This window comes from Homo sapiens, chromosome X, assembly GCF_000001405.40.
Source record: "Homo sapiens chromosome X, GRCh38.p14 Primary Assembly".
Lineage (NCBI taxonomy): Eukaryota > Metazoa > Chordata > Mammalia > Primates > Hominidae > Homo > Homo sapiens.
In genome coordinates, this window is record NC_000023.11 from 13,377,319 (window position 1) to 13,387,550 (window position 10,232).

Genomic DNA, 10,232 nt, shown 5'->3' on the forward strand with positions numbered 1-10,232 from the left:
CGTATCACGCCTTTCCAGTGAGTAAGATCATCTAGATAGATTCTCCAAAAGAAATAACCCAGTAAGGGAGGGGCAACCAGCATGACCACAATGCTAGTTGTTGTGTGCGAATGGTAAACAGAATGAAATTATGAATGTGTGTGCGGGTCATTATATGCATGCAGACACATACATATGCATATGTAGTATAAATCTCCATAAATGCCTAAGGTGATGGCAGTGATGAGGGGCAGTTAAAAATGTTAAGCACAAATTGGAGCTGAGACACTGATCAGAGAAAAATTATCTGTAATACTGAGAAAGAGCCATCTGTCATGGCTGGAGGCTCAAGCAGAGAAGGGATAAGTGGAGAGGCCCCAGGAACAGATGGAGAGGCTTGAACCCCCACACAGAGCAGAGCGTCCAACAGCTGGGACTGATTAATCCAGACGGCCGACTATTACGTCATGTGTTGGATTACAACCAAATGAGTGGCTAAAAGCTCCTAGCAAGTTCAGGCCAACACGAAGTCGCTTCACAGATGGCATCCACCTTGGAATTCCGTGAGGGATGAAGACACTGCTCAGTCCTGCCTCATTGTCCTCTGTGGAAAGAGCAAGAGGAATGAGGATAGGCCTTTCCCACCCCTTTATTCTTCTTTATTCTCAGGGTAAATGGAAGTAGAGAAGGAGAGTAAGTGAGATTTTAAAGAAGCTTTTTGACCTGTGTCTTTGTTCTCTCCTTGCTCTCTAAATTACATGATAGAGGGAATAATAAGGAACTTTAATGTATGAAGTTCAGTCCAGTAAATTGATCCCATAGCCCAGCATGTGATAAACAGTTTCTGAATATTAACTTGATCTACTCGTGCTTCTTAGTAATCCCACAAACACTTTAAACAACATTTCAGAAGCACAGGTAATCCCACAAGCATTTCAGCAACATTTCAACTCAACACCTGTCCCCTCTCCAATGTTCCCTTCAAGTCAGAAACCTAACTTTGGGTACCCAACTCTACCGTCAATCAGTCACTGGGGCCTTATGGAATCAATGGAGTCTTGTAGATTCCATCTCCTTAGCATTGCTTGAAACGATCTTGACTTCTCTATTCTCATTGCTATTGCCTTAATTCTGACCTTCAGTAAGTCCTGCCTGGACCGTTACAATAGTTTCTTCTAAGCTATCTTCTGGTTTCTTTGCTCCAGTGCATTCTTTTCTTTTTTTTTTTTCTGCTGACACCCAGCACTTTATTAGTGGGGAAACTCGCCTTGGTCTGGCAGAGACTGGGATGGACAGGACCGGCGCCCATCTCGAGGGGGTATTTTCTGGAAGATCAGGTGTTCCTCCCTTGTAGGTTTAGAGGAAACACCCTCATAGATGAAAACCCCCCAGAGAGCAGCACTGCAACTGCCAAGCAGCCGGGGTAGGAGGGGCGCCCTAGGCACAGCTGGGCCCTTGAGACAGCAGGGCTTCGATGTCAGGCTCGATGTCAATGGTCTGGAAGCGGCGGCTGTACCTGCGTAGGGGCACACCGTCAGGGCCCACCAGGAACTTCTCAAAGTTCTAGGCAACATCGTTGCGACACACCGGAGACCAGGTGATGAGCTTGGGGTCGGTCATAAGCGCAGTGGCGTCGTCGCTGGGGGCTGGCAGGGCCTCCCGCAGGAAGGCAAAGAGAGTGTGCGCCCCCGCACCGTTCACCTCGCCCTTCTCGAAGAGCATGAAGTTGGGCTCGAACCCACCACCAGGTCGGACGTACTTGAGGGAATTCAGAATCTCTTCGTTCTTGGCGTTCTCCTGATGCCCAAACTGGTTGCACGGGAAGCCGAGCACCACCAGGCCCCGGGGTCCGAGGCGCCGCTGCAGCTCGTTCATCTGGGTGTAGTCCCGGACCGTGGAGCCTCAGAGGGACGCCACATTCTCTATAAGTAGTACCTTGCACCGCAGGGAGCCCAGGCTCACAGGCTCCCCGCCGGCCAGCGGGCGCGCCGAGAAGGCATACACCGACTGGGCCGCCGCCGCCGCTGGCCGAGCAGCACACATGGCGCAATTGTCCAAGAAGCCAGCGGAGCGCCCCGAACAAGCACTGTCTCCAGTGCATTCTTTTCACAGGGTCGGAGCCATGGGAAAACTTCCTCTTTGCCCTCTGAAGGTTCTCTGAAAATCACTGACAAGAGACAGATTAGATTAATAGGAGAAAACGCATACAAATTTATTTGAGATCATAGTTTTACGTGACAAGGGAACCTTTAGAATGAAGACCCAAAGATACAGAGCAAACTGGCCATTTTTATGCTTAGGTTCAACAAAGTGTGGACAGCTGTGCAGAAATATGATTGGACAAAAATGTTGTGATCTAAAGCTAATGGACTGAGTGTGGAAACCCAACAAGGCCTGTCTGTCTAGATTCTTCTTGGCCTCTCTGAGCAGCGTTCCTTCCTTCTGGGTGTAAGGCAAGACCCTCTCTGGAGTGGGGGTGTTATGACCTACAGTCAAACAAGGTATGTCAGGGAATTTCGTTATGGCCAGTATTTACACAGAAAGCTGGGAGGGAAAGTTAGAGTAATGTTTTTAGGTTTTATGGCTGGCTTTGGGGAACAAGGTTTCTGGTTTCTAGAACCTGCCTTGGGGAAGGATTCTAGCTTCTGTTGCTCCTCTGGGGAGAATGGGACTGAGACAGGAGGGCAGGGGAAGGTCAGAGAACAACATTTGCTTCTAAACCTGCTTCTGGAGCTTTTTTTGGGGGGTATTGTTATCCGAGTCCCCACAATAGCCTCCAGAATAGCCTTCTTAAAACTGAAATCTGTTCTTGCGCCACTGCTCTCCAGCCCAGCCTGGGCGACAGAGCGAGACTCCGTCTCAAAAAAAAAAAAAAAAAAAAAAAAACTGAAATCTTTTCATATTATTTTCCTGCTTACCACTCTTGTATGGCTGCCCATTCTCAAAGGTTTTTAGACATATTTTTGTCTTGACAGAATATAGATGAAATTCATCAGAGCAACACAATTCTATATACGTAGTCAGATTTTCATGAAACTCTAATTTTTTTTTTCAGAGAAATAAAGTTCATCACAGTGAGTCAAGATGCCTCATTCCAAGCTATGGTGTAAATTTCATAGACTAAGAAATGTGCAAGTTTCCTTTTTGCTAAGTATGACACATCACCTCTCTCTCACAAAGGGATATATGTTGTTACTAATGTAAACTCATTAGTTTTGATCAATGTTTTGTGAACTCAAAAGTATCTGAGACAGCTCTCAATCAATTTAGAAAGTTTATTTTGTGAAGGTTAAGGACATGCCCGTGACACAGCCTCAGGAGGTCCAGATTACATGTGCACAAGGTGGTCAGGGTACAGCTTGCCTTTATACATTTTAGGGAGACATAATACATCAGTCAATACATGTAAGGTTTACATTGTTTCGATCTGGAAGGGTGGGGCAACTCGAAGCAGGAGTCGGGCTTCCAGGTCATAGGTAGATTTAAACATTTTCTGATTGGCAATTGGTTGAAAGAGTTATTATCAGTAGAAAGAATTGTTTGGGTTATGATAAGTGGTTGTGGAGGCCAAGGTTTTATCATGCAGATGAAGCCTCCAGGTAGCAGGCTTCAGAGAAATAGACTGTAAATGTGTTTTTATTGGACTTAAGGTCTGTGTTGATATTAATGCTGGAGGGGTATAATGAGGCTTGTCCAACCCCCTCCTCCATCATGGCCTGAACTAGTTTTTCAGGTTAACTCTGGAATGCCCTTGGCCAAAAGGAGGGGTTCATTTAGATGGTTGAGGGGCTTTAGAATTTTATTTTTGGTTCACAGGATCATGGTTATATAAGATGTTAACATTAGGAGATGCTGGGTAAAAGGTATATGGGAACCTTCTGTACTGCCTTTGCAACTCTTCTATAAATCTAAAATAATTTCAAAATGTTACTATTAACTATACTCGAGGTTATTTATGTCTATTTTATCTGAATAATGGGAATATCATCTAATGGTGTGCTAATACCTCTTTCCCCAACTCCACATTCAGTGATGGCTAGTTGGTGGTTTCACATCAGACAATGTGGGAGTATTTACACCCTGGCAAGTGGTACGTGCAATAAACATTTATCAGCATACTGAGGCAGCCAGATGTGACTTTCTCTGCCTGAATATGAAAAGGTATCAATACATATGGGTTGCCAAAAGTGCAAGGGAGAAGAGAAGACAGCAACTGTGAAAACAAGCTCCCCTCTTTCTCTGTAAAGGCTGCAAATCTGCTTATGAGTGTTTCAGAGTCACTGGGCAACCCAGGTCACAGGCATATAGCAGAGATCACTATGCTGCTCCGGGCCCCTAGGAAGGCAGGGTGTGGAGCCTATCATTTCAGATTCTGAAAACTTTGAGGGATGCGAGAAGAGACTATGGAAGCCAAACAGGAATCTTCTCATAATTTTAGCCATGATGAGTATATTGAGAAACATTCAAAATATTTAAAATTTGGCATCAGGAGTCAGGGCCTATCAGTTCTACATAGCATCTACAAGCATAACATTTTCCATCATGGTTTTCTGTCTGTTAAAAGTCATGTTATTATTCTGTGCCAAAATCATTCAATTTAGTATATGAAGAAAAAAGGAATACTTCCGGGGACCACACACCCAACAGAGTGGGATGCTGAAAAGATTCACCATCCAGATCTTTCATAGTAGAGGTGATCAGCATTGAGGGTACAGTTTGATCTTTTTTTTTTTTTTTTTTTTTTTTTTTTTTTTCAGATAGAGTCTCGCTCTGTTGTCCAGGCTGGAGTGCAGTGGCATGATCTTGGCTCACTGAAACCTCTGCCTCCCAGGTTCAGGCGATTCTCCTGCTTCAGCCTCACGAGTAGCTGGGACTGCAGGCCCACCAAGCCTGGCTAGTTTTTGTATTATTAGTAGAGACGGGGTTTCACCATGTTGGCCAGGCTAGGCTCGAACTCCTGGCCTCAAGTGCTGGGATTACAGGTGTGAGCCACCACACCCAGTCCTACAGTTTGATCATTTTTAAGGTGCAAATTCTATTCAACTTCCCATATACATGGGGTTTCACACTGGGACGGTGAGGCAGGGGATCAGAGGTGGGGTTAAGTATTGAAATCAGCATATAAGGCAAGAATAGTTGATAATCAACACTACTCTCTAAAACTCCTTAAATCAGTGGTGCTACAGAGATAGTACACTGCTAGAGGCAATTTAGAATATTTTGTTGTGTGTTTTTGGTTAGCATAGCCAAGGGAGGGGGTACCTTAGATATTCATGAGCCACAGCTGGGGATTTTAAGCAACCGTCATTGGTCATAAAGTCCAGAGAAAAGAAGGATCCTCTCCGGTCCTTCAGCACTTCTGAATGCCCTGCTAGACCTGCATTGTGTGTGAAAACCTGCTCAAGATTATCTGAGGATAGATGCTCACAGCATTTTACAAATAAACACAAAAGTATTTTTAGCAATCTTAATAAACCCTGAATTTTTCTGGAAATCAACTACTGTATGAATCAAAAGTTTGTATTTTGCTCTGTATGGAACTTTTAGCACAAATCATTCATTGTTGTGGAAAATCCTGACACCACCAGTTCTCAATATAACACACCTGAATCTACTGGCATTTGTAACTATTGCATTCTTAGTTTTCCTACAACTATTTATTATTAAAGGGGAGTACTGTTCTGATAAGGTTGGAAATCACTGCCTTGAATTTCTGTAAATCACTGAAATCTATGCTGCTTGAAACCAATGTGTAGGGACCAAGGGAAAACTTCCCCTTTGCCCTCTGAAGGTTTGCTGAAAAATCAACTGACAAAAGGCAGATTAATAGGACAAAAGGCATACAATTTATTAACGTGCATGAGAGTCCTACAAAATAGGAGATCTCAAAGAAATGGCCAGATAATTAATTGATGCTTTTATACCATCTTGAGGTTACAGAATGAATGGGGACTTGGGAGATTGCAAAGCACGCTATGTTGGCAAAACAGGTTATAGGAGAAGGAGGAGAGGAGGCCTGGCTGGCAAAGGTGGTCTTGTTAACACAGAAAAGACCTCACAGGTAGCAGCTCTCAGAGAGAATAGATGGTAAATGTTTCTTTCAGACCTTTAAAGGTGTCGGACTGTCAGTTCATCTTTCCTAGATCCGGACAAGGCAGAGCTAAGAGAAAACCTGGCTGCATCAGTGCAGATTTTCTCTACAGATGCAAATCTCTCCCCACAAAAGACAGCTTTGCAGGGCTGCTTCTGTTTGCAGGCGCCCTGAACAGCCATCTCAAAATATGTCAAAGAAATATATTTAGGGGTGAAATATTTTGGTTTTCTTTAAAGTCAACAATGAAATTTGTTATTTTTTTCACTTTACATTCAGGTTGTTGTCGCCTTTCCCAGGGACACCAGAGGTCCTGGCTTTGCTTAAAGACAAGGCTTCTCAACCTCAGAACTAATTAACATTTGGGGAAAATGCACAGTGCATATTGCTAAACCCTCTACAGTGCACAGGACAGTACCAGCCCCCACCCCAACATGGGGTATATCCGTGGCCTCTACCCACTAGATTCGAGCAGCAACCTCCCCACAAGTTGTGACAACCAGTGTTAAAAGAAACTTTATACGAATTAAATTTAATAGAGTTTAACTGAGTAAAGAACAATTCTAAAATCAGGCAGCCCACAGAACCACAATAGGTTCAGACCTGAAGGTCTGCCACATGGTTGGATAACATTTACAGATAGAAAAAGGAAAGTGACAGAAAACGGAAGTGAGGTACAGAAACTGCTGGATTGGTTTTATAGCACCGTGTTTGCCTTATTTGAACAGGGTTTGAACAGTTGACTGCCCGTGACTGGCTGAAACTCTGTGATTGGTACAAGGGTAAGTTAGTCTGTTTACATACCAAGTTAGGTTACAGTTCAGTATGTACGGAGAAACCTTTAGGCCAAACTTGAAATACATAAGGAGGCAGATTTAGGCCAAACTTAATTTTAACACCAGAAATGTCTCTAGACATTGCCAAATGTCCCCTGGGGGGCAAAATCACCCCTAGTTGAGAACCTCTGGTTTAAGGCAACTCTACTTTGGAATTCTGTTCAGAATGAGGAGAATTTGGGTCATGTTTCTCAAAGCACGATTTGCAAATCAGATCAAAAATACAGGATTCCCCCAAGGTACGGGCCAAAAGTGCAAATCAGAATCTGGGGTGTGTCATATGGTGGGTCAGAGCCAGGCACGATGGCTCTTGCCTGTAATGCCAGCACTTTGGGAGGCCAAGGCAGGCAGATCACTTGAGGTCAGGAGTTCAAGACCAGCCTGGCCAACATGGTGAAACCCTGTATCTACTAAAAATACAAAAATTAGCCAGGCTTGGTGGTGCATGCCTGTAATCCCAGCTACTTGGGAGGCTGAGGTGGGAGAATCATTTGACCCCGGGAGGCGGAGGTTGCAGTGAGCCGACATTGTGCCACTGCACTTCAGCCTGGGTGACAGAGCGAGACTCCTTCTCAAAACAACTAAAATAAAATTAGAAAGATCCTGGCTTGATTCCAGCTCTACTTGTTAGTAACAGTGTGGCCTTAGCAATTTAACCTCACTGAACTTCATATTCCTTAGCAGCAAACTGAGAGTGAAAATGATGCTACATCTCAGGGATCTTTCGAGGATTAAATGAGATACTGTATGTGAGGAGCTCACGATAGCGTGGGTCTTATTGATCTTTGTAATGCCTTGTTATCCTAACCCAAGCTGAGCACACACAGCAGGAACAAGGTCAGAGACCCTGGGAGCAGGGACTGAGGAGCCAGCCTTGGCTTCAGATGGGCAAAGTCTATAATCAATTTTGTTTCAGAGTTAAACCATAAATTAAATTCCTTTCCAAGGTTAGTTGGCCTACGCCCAGGAATGAACGAGGACAGCTTAAAGGTTAGAAGCAAGATGGAGTTGGTTAGGTAGGTCTGATCTCTTTCACTGTCATAATTTCCTCAGTTATAATTTTTGCAAAGACATTTTCAGCATATCAAGGCTTTAGGCTAGTATTATCCAATACAGTAGCCACTAAACACATGTGGCTATTTGAATTTCAATATATATTAATTAATATTAAATAAAATTAAAAATCAGTTTTTGGATCACACTAGCTACACTTCAAGTACATAACCAAATGTGGCTAAGGACTACTATACTGGAATGCACAGATATAGAACACGTCTGTCATCATAGAAAGTTCATAGCATGCTGAATTTTAAATAACCACAGAAGCCTAGCTCAGTGTTTCTGTCATTTTTACTAGGAACACATAAACTAAAATGAAGACAAACATTAGGACTGTCTGGGGAAAAGCCACCAACGTTTTTTCACCTTAAATGGTTGTTTATTTTTTGTCACTTTGGGGAAGTTAAAAGTAAATATTCCCTGTATCTGTTTTGACTTCTCATTAAATTAATAACTAAGTCACAGAAAAGATACTCCTTTTTCCAACACTCTGTTAGTGCTCAGGCTGCCCAATCTGCTTTCAAAGAGAAATTATTTCCAAAATGCCCTACTCAGAGTTATTCAGTTTCCCTTAAATGTGGACTTCACCATATTTTTTAAAGACTATGAAATCTACCACATTAATCAGAAGGGAATTTTTGATAATAACAATTATTACATACATAGGGTAACTATATATTATATATAGGGTAACTTCCTGACGTTGCCATGGCATTTGTAAACTGTCATGGCACTGGTGGGAGTGTCTTTTAGCATGCTAATACATTATAATTAGCGTATAATGAGCAGTGAGGATGACCAGAAGTCACTTTCATTGCCGTCTTGGTTTTGGTGGGTTTTGGCCAGCTTCTTTACCACATCCTGTTTTATTAGCAGGGTCTTTATGACCTGTATCTTGTGCTGACTTCCTATCTCATCCTGTGACTTAGAATGCCTAACCTGCTGGGAATGCAGCTCAACAGGTCTTAGCCTTATTTTACCCAGCCCCTATTCAAGATGGAGTCACTCTGGTCCAAACGCCTCTGACAAGGTACAAATAAAACAAGTAGGATTAATTTACTTGACGGAACTGGAGCCTTTTGGAGCTTCCTAGAGGAATCATGTCATCCTAAAATGTCAGAGCTAAAAAAAATCAGAGAAAACACTTTATCTACATTTGTGAATAAAAAGACCAAGATTCATAGTGAAGGGACACAGCCAGTTAGTAGCAGAACCAGGACTAAGGGAGTGACAAGAATCTGTTTGACTTCAAATCGCTGGTACTTTCCTTTTCAAAACCTGGCCAGAATAGGGAATGCCCTTTTGCTGTAGGACTGACAACAGACCACCATGTCTGCAGTGTCTGTTCAGGTTCAACCATGTCATATAACATCCCCAGATAGGGGGTATCAAATTCCTGACACAGCATAAAGCTACAAACATCCCTTTTCATTCACCAGCTCCCAGAGTCTTTGAAAACCTAGAAATTGGCCACTTTTGCCCTTCAAGACCTTCTGCTACTTTGTTCAAAGGAAGCAGAAGATCAAAGGAAAGTAGCCATGTGGAGGCTCATTGTTCAGGCCTAGGCTGGCTGAGTTTCCAAGGCCTCCAGGGAATTAGGGATTGAGGACCATGTCAACTTGATTAGACCTTCAACTAGCCTTTCAGGAAATAATTCTCTCATTTGGGAGCAAAGAGAGTACCTTTCTCCCCATACTCAGTACATTATATCTGTTCCCTTCTTAATGCCTTTCTTTTTTCCTCTCTTCCATGACGCAGAAGTAACTGGATATTTATGAAGACAGCCTCCAAGACCTTTCATATTCCCCCACATTTGTGTGTATCCCTGACACATAATACTTCAATTCCCTCAGCCTTAAAATCAGGCAAGTGTGCCTACATCACAGGATTGTTGCAGGATTAAATGCAATGCTTTATTAAGTGAGTTGGAGACTCTGGGTTTATTCATTTCCTAAGGGACTTTCTGACACTAAAACACACACTAGCCAAATAGTGCTTCTCTTCCAAAATGGCAAATTACTTCAAGCAAAAGCCCTTCAGACTCAGCAGGGAAGAAGTAAAGAGTCAAATGTTACATCCACCAATACCAGGAGAATCCAGGGAAGTCTCTTTAGTTTCTTTTTCTTGTATTCCTTATATTGCTGTTAGATTATGGATGAAGGAAAAAAACTCCCAGATCCTAAAGCATGCTGACTGGACCCAAATAAATGACATTATGAGAGCCTGTATTAGTTATCTATTGCCTTCCAACAAATTACCCAAAAATA

General features: G+C 42.9%; 1 pseudogene; it reads right to left on the bottom strand.

Moving 5' to 3' along the window:
- Positions 1,207-2,069, bottom strand: GPX1P1 (glutathione peroxidase pseudogene 1; annotated as a pseudogene).